This window comes from Homo sapiens, chromosome 18 (assembly GCF_000001405.40).
Source record: "Homo sapiens chromosome 18, GRCh38.p14 Primary Assembly".
NCBI classification, from domain to species: domain Eukaryota; kingdom Metazoa; phylum Chordata; class Mammalia; order Primates; family Hominidae; genus Homo; species Homo sapiens.
Genome location: NC_000018.10, coordinates 21,758,691 through 21,776,553, shown reverse-complemented (window position 1 = coordinate 21,776,553; position 17,863 = coordinate 21,758,691). Strand labels below are relative to the sequence as shown.

At 37.3% G+C, this 17,863-nt stretch overlaps 1 protein-coding gene across 5 annotated transcripts in view, besides 1 other annotated feature; it reads right to left on the bottom strand.

Moving 5' to 3' along the window:
- Window positions 1-17,863, bottom strand: part of MIB1 (MIB E3 ubiquitin protein ligase 1) — a 166,038-nt gene that overhangs the window by 94,400 nt on the left and 53,775 nt on the right. For all 5 annotated transcript variants that reach the window (XR_007066203.1, XM_047437676.1, NM_020774.4 and 2 more), the window contains exons 2-4: window positions 10,611-10,782; window positions 7,802-7,931; window positions 2,826-2,930 (exon numbers count right to left, since the gene is read on the bottom strand). Coding sequence is in view for 4 of the 5 variants with exons in the window: in NM_020774.4 (NP_065825.1) it covers window positions 2,826-2,930; window positions 7,802-7,931; window positions 10,611-10,782 (407 nt within the window). In the remaining variant the exon portion in view is untranslated. The remainder of the gene's footprint in view (window positions 1-2,825; window positions 2,931-7,801; window positions 7,932-10,610; window positions 10,783-17,863) is intronic.
- Window positions 14,593-17,563: an enhancer, noted in NCBI's record as "VISTA enhancer hs1650". NCBI's record gives its function as "enhancer in: neural tube[5/7] | hindbrain (rhombencephalon)[5/7] | midbrain (mesencephalon)[5/7] | forebrain[5/7]" and the evidence as "EXISTENCE:transgenic organism evidence [ECO:0001131][PMID:17130149]".

Genomic DNA, 17,863 nt, shown 5'->3' with positions numbered 1-17,863 from the left:
GAAGAACCTTGTGTATACTGTGAAAATTTAGATGTGGATTTACTTAAAAGTGCCTAATAGTACAGGTGTATATAGTAGATGATTAGAACATCTTACCCTATCAAGGAAAGGAGCTCCTCTAATACAGATGCACATGTGCACCTGCAGGTATGCACATGCATGTGCACACACACGCACACTCACACAGTACCCAACTCTTTTATAGCATCTTTTACTGTCATTGAATCCTGGCCAAAGAGACATAGGTGTCAAATTGGTTTTTTGGGATTTTTTTTTTTTTTTTTTGAGACAGGGTCTCTCTCTGTTGCCCAGGCTGGAGTGCACGATCACGGCTCACTGCAGCCTCGACCTCCTAGGGCTCAAGTGATCCTTCTACTTCCACCTCAGCCTCTCAAGTAACTGCGACTACAGGTGCAAACCACCATACCCAGCTAACATTTTTTATTGTTTGTAGAGATGTGGTTTTGCCACATTGCCCAGGTTGGTCTCAAACTCCTGGACTCAAGTGATCTACCTGCTTTAGCCTCCCATGGTGCTGGGATTACAGGTGTGGGCCACCCCTCCCAGCTGTCAAATTGTTTTAATATACTACCCTACCCCAGCAATTTTACTTCTAGGAATCTATCCTAAGGAAATATACCCATAATGTACAAAGGCATATACACAAGGATGCTTACTGACACACTGCTTGAAGCAGTAGGGGAAACAAAATCCAACCCAGGTACCCATCAAGAGATCTCATTAAATAAATAATGGCACAACAACATACTCGGCCATCAATCTATATAAATACCATTCATTTAAGTACCTGAGCACATATAGCACACAGGCTTCATTTGAAGAAAATTAACAATCAGTTGGAATCCTAAAAAATTGACAATTTAAAAACAGGCAGAGGCATGAAGAAAATGAAAAGCTGATAATCACTGCTATATACAATAATAAAAATTGGCAACTAAAGTATTTGTTTAAATTCACATGGCTGGCTTTTAATATATAAGTGGCATGAATTGGTCAGCTGTAGTAGCTCATGCTAGTAGTCTCAGCATTTTGGAAGGCCAAGGTGGGGGATCGCTTGGAACTCAGGAGTTCAAAACCAGTGTGGACAATATAGCAAGACCCTATTTCTACTAAAAATTTTTTAATATTAGTTGGGCATGGTGGCACACGCCTACAGTCCTAGCTACTCCAGAGGTTGAGGTGGGAGGTTTGTTTGAGCCCAGGAGTTCAGGACTTCAGTGAACTATGATTGCACCACTGCACTCCAGCTTGAGTGACAGAGCAAGACCCTGTCTCTAAAAATAAATAAGGCCAGGCGTGGTGGCTCGCGCCTGTAATCCCAGCACTTTGGGAGGCCGAGGCAGGTGGATCACGAGGTCAGGAGATCAAGACCATCCTGGCTAACACAGTGAAATCGCGTCTCTACTAAAAATGCAAAAAATGAGCCGGGCGTGGTGGTGGGCGCCTACAGTCCCAGCTACTAGGAAGGCTGAGGCAGGAGAATGGCATGAACCCGGGAGGTGGAGCTAGCAGTGAGCCAAGATCAGGCCACTGTGCTCCAGCCTGGGCGACACAGCGAGACTGTGTCTCAAAAAATAAATAAATAAATAAATAAATAAATAAATAAATAAAATGGAAATAAATTAAGGGGACACTGGGATACTTTCTCCATTCATTCAGGCCACTGCATTCCAGCCTGGGAGACACAGCGAGACTCTGCCTCAAAAAATAAATAAATAAATATAAAAAATAAATAAATAAATGGAAATAAATTAAGGGGACACTGGGATACTTCCTCCATTCCTAACAAGAACATAGACAGTTGATTTTTAAAAAGGAAATGTAAAGAATTCTTTGAATACGGAATGTATTCAAAATGAAAAGGATGTGAAAGGCATTAATATTTTGGCATTTATTTATTATACTCTATACATTAAATAGCAAGATCAACTTTTTTTGAGATACAGTCTCACTCCATTACCTAGGCTGGAGTACAATGGCGTGATCTCGGCTCATTGAAAGCTCTGCACCCCGACCCTCGTGGTTCAGGTGATTCTCGTGCCTCAGCCTCCCAAATAGCTGGAATTACAGGCACATGCCATCAAACCCGGCTAATTTTTGTATTTTAGTAAAGACAGGGTTTCACCATGTTGGCCAGTGTGATCTCAAACTCCTGACTTCAAGTGATCCACCCACCTGGGCCTCCCAAAGTGCTGGGATTACAGGCGTGAGCCACCGTGCCCAGCCAAGATCAGCGCTTGAACAATGGTCCATGAAATACAAAAACATAGGACAACTCATTGAATAAACCTCCATTATTTTTCTAAACACTTAAGTAATTCAAGGTGTTTCTAAGTCAATCATTTTCAATTATCAACACTATACTTTAAAAAATACCAAGGGGTGGAGAGGAATCTCCTAAAAAATAATTTTAATATTTGTTGTAATTTATACTTTTATATAAGCTACCAGAGCACAGAATACAAATATATCACAAAACCTCATTATAATACCGTCTTCCAGGTCCATCCACGTCAAGGAATGGTCTTACAGATGATTCCCAATCTTTTTGATAGATTTTCGTAAATAAACCCCCTGGACTTACACTGAAAATGGGTCACCTCTACACCACCAATATATAGTAAGGTACTCAAACATTAAACTAAAGGCAAATCATATTTACTATTAAATAGTTTAGAGAAACATAGTAAAAACGTAAAGGTTCTGACAAAGGGAGATGACAAAGGAAAAATAATAAAAGAGCAGTAAGAGCTATTCACCCATCCAACATTTTCTTTCACCTGCTATGGCTCTTCACTACTTACCATGCCCTCAAAGCCAACTCTGTAAAGGTTCTTAGCACCATTATCCCAGAGGACATATGCTGCGCTATGTGGGCTTGATGCACTCCAGTCCTGGATTTCTGTTACCTAACAGAATAGTTTTTGAGAAAAGAAGTTTTTTAAAGGGGAGGGAAGAGCTTAGTTCTTTTAATTATTACATTTAAATCTTAAAAATCATTTCATCTAGCAACCTGTGTAACAGGATCATGAAAAATACTTATTTGCCAAATATGTCACTGCTAACATAGTTAAATTATCATTAGAGCCATATTTTTCCAGAATTATAAGGTAATTTCTAAAACCTCTGTAGAAATTTTTAAATCAAGAGGCTTGGGGATTACAGTGATAGATTATCAGAAAATAGAATTTGATAGAAAATTTAAAATATTTTTATTCTTAAAGAGATTCCTTTAAGAACAGTTTTTTGTTTTTTGGTTTTTGGTTTTGAGATGGAATCTCGCTCTTGTCGCCCGGGCTGGAGTGCAGTGGTGCGATCCTGGCTCAATGCAACCTCCGCCTCCCGGGTTCAAGCTTCTCCTGCCTCAGCCTCCTGAGTAGCTGAGATTACAGGTGCCTGTCACCACGCCTGGCTAATTTTTGTAGTTTTAGTAGAGATGGGGTTTCACCATGTTGGCCAGGCTGGTCTCGAACTCCTGACCTCAGGTGATCTGCCCGTCTAGGCCTCCCAAAGTGCTGGGATTACAGGTGTGAGCCACTACGCCCGGCAAGAACAGTATATTCTTTTAAGCCCATTACTCAATATGAAATTTAAAATCTCTGTAAAATACCCAAAATGATTCAAGATAAACCTTTTTGGTCAACTAAAAATTAACAAGCACAAAGCTCTTGAAGAGCCTTGGTGGCAATGTTCAAGTAGGTCTTGAGTTGCTTTTGCTCCTCCAACAGTATCCCGCAGTTGCAGGCCACCTAAGCTAAAATGGCATGCCTACCATGGAAACCCAGACAACATCTCCAAGCCCCACACCCAACTAGTCTGATTCTTGAATTCACTGGATTAAAAAATATATATATATACTGGGGTTGCCATTGCTTTAAGGCCTAGAATCACATACAGGTTGAGTTTACTTATCTGAAATGCTTAGGACAAGAAATGTTTTAGATTTCAAATTTTTTCAGATTTTGAAATATTTGCACTGTACTTAGAGCATCCCAAATCCAAAAATCTGAAATTCTAAATGCTCCAATGAGCATTTCCTTTGAGCACCATGTCAGTGTTCAAGAAGTTTCATATTTTGGAGTATTTCAGGTTTCAGATTTTTTTATTTGGAATGTTCAACCTGTACACAAAAATGACAAACAGCATTAAACTTGGACCTTCTCAAGTAAACCTGACTACAGCAAAGAGTGGGAAGCTGCACACATGCAATTCAGATTACTCTTCTCCATCTTGATACTTACAATCACAGCCATCCTTCATAGTTACTTAGAATGACAGGCTGAAGTATAACTTTCAAGGTATACACTTAAAAACTATTACTTTAAATAAGATATATAATGACCATTCTTTTTCATCCTGTACTAAATAGTTTTGTAAGCCAGGTATTTTATGATATATTTGTGGAAATAAAAAGGTTTTATGTTTAAGATCTAATGAATCACTTGAAACATATTTTAAATTGTTAGTAATTTAGTCCATTTACTCTTTTAAATTTTGAAATACATTACACATTATAAAATACAGCATATGTAAATTTTTTTTTTTGCTCTTGTCACCCAGGCTGGAGTGCAATGGCACGATCTCGGCTCACTGCAACCTCCGCCTCCCCGGTTCAAGTGGTTCTCCTGCCTCAGCCTCCCAAGTAGCTGGGATTACAGGTGCCCACCACCATGCCCGGCTAATTTTCGTTTTTTTTTTTAAGTAGAGATGGGGTTTCGCCATGTTGGCCAGGCTGGTCTCAAACTCCTGATCTTGTGATCTGCCTACCTCAGCCTCCCAAAGCATATGTAAACTTTAAGGAATAAAAAAATAAACTGAACACCCATGTAATTATTACCCAACCTAAGAAAAAAAATAGAACCAGTACTTTTCAAGTCCCCTATGTCCATCTCATCAATCCCATCCTCCTGCCTTCCATTAGAGGTAACTACCATCCTGAAGTTAAGAGTCCACCATTTACCTTAATTTGCTTTATGATTCCTGCTCAACTAACCACTACATAACCTTCTAAAGTAACAGTTTCTAGCACTCGAAGGTAAAACATGCAATCTGTAGCAAAAAGTTCCTTCTGATTCTAATATATTCAGATTCAACTTCATTTGTTTTAAAAAATGTGATGCTATATTAAGTCTGTATTTTATAGGATGAGTAAAAAAGCATTTGGCTAGCTAAAAAACAAAGACAAATTTTAAATCAAATTTACTTTAAATTTCAAATTACTTGAAATAGAAGTAAGTTCATTAGTCAAGCTCCAAATCATTAAATGAAATTCCTTCATTTGTTAATATGACTTGATTTATTATTGAGGAGGAAACAAAGTGGAGGGCATAAGAAAATAACTACAGTAATTTCACATGTAAGGAACAGCTGTTAAAACCATTAGGTATAATGTTGCCAAGAAACTCTGTAAAGGATACATCTGACAAAATTTGCACCTGTTCATCAATCTTAACATCACTAATAGCAGAATAATCAGACTTTATGTGCCCCTTTATATGATACAATAGAAAATACACAGCATCACATATGAGGTATGTTTGCCAAAATAAAATTGAACCTGAATCTATCTAATCAAGCCTCTAGATCTAACAACTAATTTATAGGAAATACAAAGATTAAAAGAACAAGTTAAAGAAGTTAAAGAATACTATAAAGAATCAATTGGCCAAATAGAATCTGGTTTCTTCAACAAATAAATGGTATTTTTTTAAGTTAATAATTGTTGAAGTTGGGTATGAGTGCATGGGAATTTATTATACTATACTTTCTACTCAAGTGTATGTCTGAAATACTCCATAATAAAGAGCTTAACAAAAAAACAAATATGATCTAGTATACTTAATCATATTTGTAAAACAAACAGCTTTAAAAGACTAACACGTATAGTGAGACTTAAAAAGCCCTTTAAGAATAGGCTGGGCGCGGTGGCTCATGCCTGTAATCCCAGCACTTTGGGAGGTGGAGGCAGGAGGATCGCTTGAACCCAGGAGTTCGAGACCAGCCTGGGCAACACAGCAAGACTCCATCTCTAATATATATTAGAAAAACAAAAAGGAAGAATACACTACATACAATTAACGTGGGTTACATCAGGGGAGTGGGATAAAGCATCCAGCACTGAAGGGGAAAAAGGGATGTTAACTTTCTTCATTCACATACATAGGCCAAAACAAAAAAGTCAGACAACAGAAGTTACACTTGGTCTTAAACAATGTGCTTAACAATGTTACTCTAAAGATTTATTTTATAAAGTTCCCTCACTTGGAGTCACATGTACAAGATGGTTTCATTTCTTTTTCTTCATTTTGTTCTTTTCGTTTGTCTGTTTTGAGATGGAGTCTCACTCTGTCACCCAGGGTGGAGTGCAGTGGCACAATCTTGGCTCACTGCTACCTCTGCCTCCCAGGTTCAAGTGATTCTCCTGCCTCAGCCTCCCTGGTAGCTGGGACTATAGGCATGTACCACCATGCCTGGCTAATTTTTGTATTTTTAGTGGAGACAGGGTCTCACCATGTTGGCCAGGTTAGTCTCAAACTCCTGACCTCAAATGATCCACCCGCCTCAGCCTCCCAAAGTGCTGGGATTACAGGCGTGAGCCACCATGCCTGGCCCTCATTTTGTTCTTAAAACACAACATGTGTTAAATCAAAGCAAACCAAAAATGTAACAGAATGACTCAAAGCCTCAAGAATGCCTTCTTTTATCCCAAAAAAGTGCCAATACAGAAAAAACCAGGAAGTTCCATTTATGTGGCTTCAAACAGCAAATGCCTTCAAAAGCTGATGAGGAAAGATGACTTCCAGCCCCCTCTGACCATATAATTAACTATGAGGAAAAATACACAGTCAATTAAAATTTGACTTCTCACATACTCTTTCAAAAGAAGTTACTAGAATGTGTGTCCTACCAAAAGAGACAGTAAGCTAAGTAAGATATCTAATGGGATACAGAAAACATGAGATCCAGCCAGGAAAAGAGGCAAAGGCATCTTTGTTAATCACAGGGCTTCAAAGGGCGCTTCCAGGATGACTGCTGGGCACCAGGCATGGAAGGTGACCCATCCAGATTGCAGCCGTGTAATATGTGGTGGCCAAACAAGTTGAAAGCTCTTATCCCTACTTCCACTGTACCGTTTTTATTCAACTGTGGATACACTGCCCAAGTGAGCCTGACTCACGTTCTCCAAGTGTACTTGGCTTATTTGGACTATGTAATGATGACATTCCCACTCTCCTCTTCACCCCCATTCCCTGCCACCTAGATCAGCTGAGGTCTCTCATTTCACCACACAGAATATTCTGCTTTGACCTACTCCTAAAACTCTGAGCCCGCTATGCTATCTGCAAAGGATAACAGAGGTAGGTGGGCTCGATAACAGCATAATTGCCCACTGTGCCTCAGAAACAGGTCTTTGAGGGAAGAGAATATAAAACAAGTCAATTCAAATGAAATTTAAATAGCAGGAAAGTTGAGGACATGAGATACTGCTTAGGGAGGGACTGGCCCAAATGCGTTCAGAAAAGCATGCTAGGTAACAAAATGACAATATGAAACCTGAAGGTGGGAAGGTAAAACCTACCTAATGACCCTCTAAGGAACATCAATGCTTACAAAAAGCAAGAACAATCTTTTTACTTCCAGAGAAAAAAGAAATCAAGATTTTAAAAACTGTTACTGGCATGGAAAACAATGGACCAAGAAATTCATTTATAGTAGTAATAAAAAGGTTCTGAACATATAATACTCTAGAATACATAATGAATTCAGAGAAACACTGTACCTTTCCCCTACGTCCATTTCCTCCATCTTGATCTTCCCACTGCCAGTCCACTCCTCGCACCACTCTGGCACCTGCAAAGATTCCTCTGGCTGTAATCTTCTTAGATTTCCTACGAGACTCTAACAGAACCCTAAAAATAAAATTATTTATTTTCAAGTTTATATAAAAATAGGTAACAATAATTTACTTTTTAAAACAAAATTATAAAAATGTTATTTTGAAAGTAAAAAGATTCTTCATTGTTCTGGTTACTACCATAATAGCATGATACAGGAATACCTTTTATATTCCACAGGTGATGATGATGATGGCAGTAGTAGCTGTAATAATAATCACAGCTAACTTTTACTAAGCTTTTATTATATAATATGTAAAAGCACTTGCATAGGAGTAAAGTGTGTTACACTCCTTAAGAGAAAGTTACCGCTATATTATCCACTTTATAAATGAGGAAACTGAGTCTCAAAGAAGTAATGTGCCCAAGGCCACAAAAGTTAAAATGTAATGGACTCCACATATGATCCTAGTCTAAGCATTTCAGGGTATCTGGGTATCACTATACTCTTCACTATTGTAGAGATGGCAAACTCAAATCGCTATAGCTTCTAGGTGAGTAATGACAGCCCAAGAAAGACAGCACTACAATGGCAAATGGCACTTGACCTCAGACTTGGGAAGATAACAGGAAATGGCAGGGACTTTGGTTGACTCAAAAGCATCATCAGTCTAAAAGGTCCAGTCTAAAGGGCTCCATTGCTTCAACAAACTGTTGCCAAGAACAAACGTAAGCCCAGTACTGATAGTCTTCTGTATTGGCGGGGGCAGTGGGGGGAGCAGGGTGTTCTATGAATCCATCAACAGATTTTTGTGTGAAATCACCTGTTTTTAAAAACTAGCCATTATTCCAGCCAGGCATGGTGGCTCACACCTGTAATCCCAGCACTTTGGGAGGCCAAGGCAGGTGGATCACGAGGTCAGGAGATCGAGACCATCCTGACTAACACGGTGAAACCCTGTCTCTACTAAAAATACAAAAAATTAGCTGGGTGTGGTGGCGGGCGCCTGTAGTCCCAGCTACTCGGGAGGCTGAGGCAGGAGAATGGCGTGAACCTGGGAGGCGGAGGTTACAGTGAGCCAACATTGTGCCACTGCACTCCAGCCTGGGCAACAGAGAGAGACTCCATTTCAAAAAACAAAAAAAAAATAGCCATTATTCAAAAATTTAAGAGTACTGTATTGATATGATTTGGTTGTGTCCCCGCCCAAATCTCATCTTGAACTGTAGTTTCCATAATTCCCACACGTCGAGGGAGGGACCCAGTGGGAGGTAACTTAATCATGGGGGCGGTTACCTCCATGCTGTTCTCTTGATAGTGAGTTCTCACGAGACCTGATGATTTTAATAAGGGGCTTTCCCCCTTTTTTGCTCAGCACTTCTCCTTGCTGCTGCCATGTGAAGAAGGAAGGGCGTGTTTGCTTCCCCTTCCACCATGATTATAAGTTTCCTGAGGCCTCCCCAGCAATGCTGAACTGTAAGTCAATTAAACCTCTTTCCTTTATAAATTACCCAGTCTCGGGTATTTCTTCATAGCAGTATGAAAAGGGATTAATATATGTATGTATCGGTAAAATACATCTGTGGTCTGGATTTTACCTACACTAACCTGTTCTCACAGTACTACATACTTACAGAAGATTATGAACCTTGATAAAGATTCTACACTCAAGTATCTGGTCCAGCTTGGTTCTCCAAGACCATGTATCCCTATTGTTCTACATCTTTCTCATTCACATAATCAGAAAGGTTTGGAGATTTTTGTTTTGTTTTCCTAATTTTATTTTATTGTTCTATTCTTTTCATTTATTTACTTATTTTAATAGAGATGAGGTCTTACTATGCTGTCCGGGGTGGTCTTGAACGCCTGGCCTCAAGTAATCCTCCCACCTCAGGCTTCCCAAAGTGCTAGAATTAAAGGCATGAGCCACCCGCCCAGCCTTATTCATTTTTACAGTGTCTTTATTATTCCTTAATTTTAATTGCAAACAAAAGACAAAAATAACCAACTTGTTCAAAATTACTCAGTTAATAAGTGGCACGATTATGATCTACACCAAGAGAGGTATGACTCCAAAATCTATTTATCTACTCCTACTCCTAGCTGCCTCCCTATGACTGGCTGGATTCTCGCTCCTTTGCAGTATCTGTATCTACATGAGAAGATCCCATTACCTAAAACTCCGCCCCCATTAACAATGAATACTCCTCTCTCCTTGCTCCTAAGACACTTAATACATATCTCTAACACAGTCTAAAACATCACATGATAATCACTGACTCATTATTTCCTTTAATTTGTAAACTCCTTAAGAATACTATGTGTCTTATTTATCTTCTAGTGTCCATAAACATAGTAGATGTTGTATAGTCCTAATAAATGCCTACTGACTCAATCAATGAGCCCTACCATTCATCTGATATCAATTAACAGACTAGAAGGCATAGTGAGAAGAAAACAATTGGTATCTTTTTGGATACCCTTGTATTTCCAAATGTAGAGTAGTGCTAACCCTCTAAGCCAGAGAAAGAATAGCCCAGATTACCTTGGAAAAGTACAGACAGCTCCATCTTCAAAGAGCTCTTCTCTTGTTATATGGCAGATTTGGTCCACTTCTATCCTACTATTGGGTACCTCCTGTTAGTAAACCAACTGTCAGAAGCTATTTGCTAATCCTATTTTTAAGGCCCAGAAGTACATAACTTGAATACAAACAAAAACCCTCGGTTGAAGAAGAAAAGGGTTCTCCCTACCTCTCACTTCCCGGTGTAGTAATTCGGTAAAAGCGATGTCTTAAATGATGTTTATCTCCATGATAACACACTGTGCACAAATCATAATTTGTACACTCTGCACACTTCCATCGAATGCCAATGATTGGTTGCTGGCGGCAGGTATCACACATGGTTCCATCATGCTTGATGCCTATTAAAACAAGGACACATGCTCAGATTAATCACAAATTTTATTTATTTGAATATTATTCCTTGGGGGAAAAAAATAAGAACAGAACATTTTACAAGATATTCTAATAAATTAGGAAATAACACTTCAAATTTAACACATATAGCTTCAAGATAATGGATCTCAACTACGTTAATAAATGCGAATTATATATATTTTCCCTCTGCTCCCTTTTTCATTAGTAAGAACACATCTCAGTAACTCTTTCCTCGCTCTCATCCACAAACTAGAACTTAAGTTCAGCACAGAGAAAGAAAGAATCCTTTATCACTAAGGAGATGTTTCAGACTACAAAACCTCAGAAATCTTTGAAAGAATTTTCAACTATTTTCTAGGTAAACAATTACTCCAAAAGAAAAGACCATTTTGCCTTCATGATATCATGGAAACAAACTATCAATTAACCTAAGCATTTACCACCCTTAGATATTGACAAGTTTTTCCCATAGTCAGGAAAAGTTAGAAAATGATTAGGAAGCAAGTTTCCCTATTTTAAAGGAAACAATACACTATAGTGGGGTTTTATCCCCTTAGGAAACAAGAAATAATAAGCTCTAGAAAAAATAAACACTTGGTAAAATGACCTCCACTAAAATTAATCACATGGATGAATGAGACAGACATTAGAACTATAAAAGGTACCAATATAAGTAATGAAAACAACCTTCATTTTCAGGTGAAATAATTGGGGGTAATACTCCTTTACTATTCTATTGTTATATTAATATCACTTGTTCAATAAATAAAAACTAGGATTTTTTTTTCAACAATGTGTGGCTTGTCAACATCAGTGTCACTACTTTATAAACACATCCTGGATGGTCAAGCTCAATGCTGACCAAGCAAGGGCTGTATTATCTGTCCAAAAGTGACACTCTCCTGGATTCAAGTTCTGACTCCGTCTGTATTTACTTTTATGTCCTTGAAAAGGTCGTTTTATCAGAAGTATTTACGTATAAAATAATGTGGGGTTTTTTTGTTTTGTTTTGTTTTGTTTTTTTTTTCAAAATAACTGGAGGGAGGCAGAGGGGAAGTAAAGTGGGATTTAGGTAAAACAAGATTAGCCGTGCTGAAGTTGGGTAATGGGTACATGGGAGTTCATTACATTATCTTCCTCTTTGTATCCATTTAGAACATTTCCATAATTAAATAGAAGAAAGGAGCCCTTTCATTCTCACAACCTCAGTCCCCTTTGGGGAATGTAATATATTCTTTAAAGGTGAGACAACGTGTTCTAAAAATCAAGTAACATGCTACATATGTAAAAACTAGAGTACAAAAGTGGTCATATTACTAATATAATACACTACTGGGTACTTCCCGATAAGAAAGAAAAACAAACCCTATGTTATTCATTTTCTATATTCAGATAACCAGATTCTAAACAAAGGGCCAAACCTGAGTGGTATGCCTGTTTTGAGGGAAAGGGAGGGGAGGGGCAAGGATCAGGAAGGAAGAGGGAGGGAAGGCAGGAAGGAGGGAAGCAAGGAAGGAAGGAGGAAGGGAACGAACACCTGAAAGAACTGGGATACCTAGTGGACTACAAAAAAGCCTGATACCCCAACACCAAATATGTTTTATGTGCAATCCTTCTGCAGTCTCCTGTCACATAAATGCTTGACTGTAGGGACAGAAGATAGTGGACATGAGTGGCTACTGATTCATCCAGAACTATTTCTTTATTACTACTGCAGGCATGCCCTCTGCTGCTTTCAAGTATCACTCTTAGAGCCATGTTCATGCCACTGCACTCCAGTCTGGGCAACTAAGACTCTAACTCAAAAAAATAAAAAAAATAAAAAAAATAAAAAATCACTCCTGCTGCAGTGTGGAGAAAAAAGATATGAAAAAAGTAAAAGTGGCTAGAGAAAGGGAGTCAGATTAAAAGAAGTTAGTAGCAGTCCAGCTAAGATAATGGTAGCTTAAATTAGGGTGTTGACAGTAGAAATTGAGAGAAATGGTTCCAGAGATATTTAGGGCTTGGTAGCTATGGGTCAGGAGACAAAAGATGTAGAGGATATAAATGAGAAAGTCTAAACGAGATCATTCAAGAGGAAACAGGTTAAGTATTAGAAATATTTAGCAATTAAACAGTATAATAAACTGAAATCTAGAACTGCTCTGCTTAAAAACAAGAAGGGAGTCACCAACAAAAAATAAGAATATCTAATAAAAAAATACAAGCCCAGGTCTCCATTGATAGAAACTCGCCTTAGAAACTAAACAGGAAAAAAAATCAGGAAAAGTTCCACAGAAATGATGGACGAGTAGATCTTTCTAAGAAAGGAAGAAATCACAGAAAAGCAGAGTATGTTCAATGAACCAGGAACGACTTTGCTTAGCAGAAACATGCAATACAGCCAGAGACTTGGAGATAAATTATAGAGTTACGCTAGAAATTAACAAGATCAGACATGATTTCTAACCTGTATACAATATGGTAAAACTGCTACCTCAAATGGTAAAAACAAGCGTATGTGATTTAAGAATTTACTTGTATAACTTACTATCCACTTAATATTCAAAATCAACTTAAATACTCTGGGACCAATATTCTCATCTATAAATTAAGAAAACACTTCCTTTCACATGGAAAGAGACATTGTGAGGCTAAATTGTTAGAAACTCCTAGAAACAGAAACTTCATTTAAAAAAAAAAACAGAAAAAAATTAAAGTGATAGGTAAACACACTTTCAAAAACTTTAAAGCAAAATATACATATAAAGAATTATACTGCACTTAACTTCATCTTAATATAGATTTAGTAAATGCACTAGTCATCTATTTAAATAATATCATAATCAGAATCATCACCTATCCCAGACAAATTTTGCAATACTTATACAGAAATCAAAGAGCTTAATAAAAGTTTAAATTTTTTCAGAGACTGTATATGGGGAACATTTAATTATTCATCTGTGAATTAAAAGATTAAAATAAATAAAAACTTCTAAATAGCAATTATATACCATATTACTAAAGTAACTAAAGTAATTTGAAAGTTGGTTTCTGTAAAGATTTGCTTAGGTTCCTTCCTGTTTTTGTTTGTTTTTAGTTTAAAGTGGCATACATGGCATCTCTGATGCTTATACTTCATGTTAAATGCTCCTACTCACCCAGCTGCTTCCTAGGATTAATATACACTCAGTGTAGAAAACTTGGAAAACCACAAAGGCTAATCCCATCAGCACATCCAGGGAATTACCTTTCTAGTTTTTATATTACATGTATTATGCAATTTAGATGCAAAAATGTCACATTGTAGTTCCTTGCAAACTACTTTAAAAATGGTATTTTACCATGTCAGTAATAATTCTTCTACAACATGGTTTAATAATTGTATAGAATTTCCCTCTGTTAATTAACATAATTTACATAATAATAGTCCCATATTTTCAACACTGGTTATGTTAACTTTTTGTCTTTATCTGCCACAAACAAGTATCTTTGAATGTGCCTTTTTAAAACATTGAAGGCAGGGTCAAAGTTTTTGATGGCATTTGAAACACTCTGTAAGTGCCTTCTATAGAGATTGTATCCATTTATATTTCCCTTTCAGCAGTATCTGACTGGCTTTCTTGACACATCTTTAACATGCACTGAAGTAGTATTTTTAATCTGTGCCAATTTGAGAGGAAAAAATTGGTATTTCCTATTTTCTTTTTAAAATTATAAAATTAATAACACACTTATAATAAAACTTTAAACAACTCAAAAGCATACAGAACAAAATGTGAAAGTCCCCCCCACCGTGTACTCCCACCCATTATTAGCAGTTTGGTGGGGGTTTCCAGATTGTTTTCTGGGTACACATTTTCTATGTGTGCTCTCATCGGCATGTGTGTAACTTCTGAGGCTTCGTGCTTAGAAAGACTTTCCTTAAAATGGTAAAATATACTACTCAATTCTTAACCTAGCACTTTTATGTTTTCTCAGCATTGGCTCAGAGCTCCCGGTGCAGGCAGGTTGTGAATCCTGAGGGGAAAGACAGTGACAGACAGACAGACATGGACAGACAAGCGACATCTGCCTTGCCTTTTGTGACCAAACCTCAGAATTCACAGTGTCACTTCCTCTATACTCTATTAATTGAGGCAGTTACAAATGTCCACCCAGGTCCACTGAGGGAGGGAAGCAGCCTCTTTAGGTGGAATGTCATTGTCTCCTAAGAAGAGCAGGTGGGATGGGATGTAGACTGGTGTGGCCATCTTTGAAAAATAACATCCGGCATGCCTCTCCTCCATTTTAAATATACATTTGGTCTTCCAGGAATAGAACTGTGTATAATGCCTATATAAAACAGAGGTATACCTGTATTTCAGTATTAAAGTGTGAATTTTAAAAAACTAATTAAATGGATTGTTACTGTTGGCACTTCTCTTTACAAATGGCAGTTTCATGAAAATTTAATATTCAGTTTAATAGCCCTGCACCAGACAATTATGACAGTTCTTCAAAATCTTTTTGTTTATGGGTTTCACAATTTACCTTAAAAAAAAAAAAAACCACTTTGTGTGACCGAGAATAGTTTTGCAACTAATTTTGTAAACTTTTGGTATTTGTGTTAGAAGCAATAATATAGAAATAATTATAAAATTATTTTTCCAAAATGGACATTATATGGAATTGATTACATATTGATTTAAAGCAACCTCATTGCCAAACACCTGAAATCAGATTCTAATAACTGTATCTGTCTTAGCACAGGAAAGCCGACAAAAAATACCACAATTAATATCAAATACCAATGACAGTAAATGTCCACAAAATGGCTAAGTTTCTGAACAAGGTCTAAAATAAATCTGATTTAGTTCCATCATCACAAAAAAGTAAAATAGACTAAACAAATCAGTATTCACTGCACACTTAGAAGTTTATCCTGAATTAACTGACTGTGCAGCTCTTCAAATGTGACTTGGTTGATGAAAGACGTAGGGAAAATGTATCCCAACTACCCCATTCAACAGAAAAAAACTGTCCAGTTTGCAACCACTGCCTCATTTACATATTTTTCATTTCTAAGTTCATTTTCCACAACATACAATGATAACAGTCATGAGCTCATAATCTGTGTACAGGCTTTCTTTAAAAGGAACCATTTAAACACACATGACAACTGGTTAAAAAAATTCTATAATTCATGGTTTTAAAGAATACCTCAGGAAAACCATTAATGCACACAAAAGCACATCCAAATGCTTTCTTGGTTCCCACACTTCAAATGCCAACAAAGCTACTGAACAGCTGTGAAACAGACTAACACTAAGAATTGAAAAATGTAAACAAAGCAACCCATTCCACTACCAAAATGAGCACTACAGAATTTTTAATGAGAATACAATTAATTGACTTCAAAACAAAAGTTGGTATTTAAAGAAAACATAAAACAGAAGAAAGGGCATTAAATAAACAAGACCAACATTTTACTAATCTCTTACTGTACAGTGGTAGCTTTTTTGTTTCCCTCACTACATCCACCCAATTCATTTTCATCTAAAACCATTAGCCCTGGCAACAGTTTTTCCTTAAAATTTTTATTTCATAAAATTTAATTCCTTAACTGGATCCATTAAGTTCTTTTTTTTCCTTTCTATAGAATACCATATTACCCTAAGGAGTTAATGCCCTTTTCCTTTGCTAGGCTTTATGAAGACATCTGCCGCCGTTAAATGAACCACCTGATGACAGCTTTTGACCCATTCTACTAATACTCAAATGACCATCTGCTCTAAGTTTTAATGGTATCTTGCCTGAGTTTAACAACTTAGAGAATTTGTATAGCTGAAGTATTTTTGTTGGAAAATTTTATGAAAATAGTAAAACATGTTGCTTAAGATCAATAACTACATTCTTCAGAGACCTAATGAAAATAGCTCAAACTCACAAAGCACTGATTTAAGTAAAATGTTAAATTTCTGGGTAGAAATGATGGCTGAAAGAGAAAAGTAGAGTTTTCACTACAAGCAGTTAAATACATATGAAGTGCTTCAACAGAACAAAAATCTCTAAATTATCACTTCGTATAATAGCAAAAGTAAAAAGTAAACAACATAATTGTTCATTAACAACAGAATGGATACATATATTAGGGATACAATGGAATACCAAAAATGAATGTTCAACGGCCACGCAATTCAACATGGACATACCCTTCACCATAATGCTGAATTTTTTTAAATATGGAATACAAAGGCCAGGCACGGTGGCTCACAAGTGTAATCCCAGCACTTTAGGAGGCCGAGGCAGGCGGATCAAGAGGTCAGGAATTCGAGAACAGCCTGGCCAACATGGTGAAACCCCGTCTCTATTAAAAATACAAAAATTAGCTGGGCCCAGTGGTGCGCACCTGTAGTCCCAGCTACTCGGGAGGCTGAGGCAGGAGAATCGCTTGAACCCAGGAGGAGGAGGCTGCCGTGAGCCGAGATCACGCCACTGCACTCCAGCCTGGGCTACAAAGCCAAACTCCGTCTCAAAAAAATATATATATACATATATATATATACACATATATATACACACATATGTATAGAATACAAAATGTTGAAACAATACTATTATTTACAGATATAGACAAATGTGTAATATAAAGAAACTCATGGGAATGATAAAAACTAATTTGTGACAGCTGGTTACCTTAGGCGAGGAGGGGAAAGAATGCAAGTGAGAAATACTACAAAGGGTGTTCAAATGTTATTAGTAATGCTTTCTTTCTAGATGGATTCCCAGTTATTGGTTATATTACTCATTTATTCACTTGTATACATTAAATGTTATGTAATAAATTTTAAAACTTTTTTAAAAAAGAAACAGTCCTTCTAGACTAGTATGGTGCCTAACTATACCCTAAACTTTGCCCAAATTCAAAGATTTCACCTAACATCAAAAAAAATTTATAAGTCAGCTGGGCGCGGTGGCTCATGCCTGTAATCCCAGCACTTTGGGAGGCCGAGGCGGGTGGATCACGAGGTCAGGCGTTCAAGACCAGTCTGGCCAACATAGTGAAACCCTGTCTCTACTAAAAATACAAAAATTAGCCGGGTG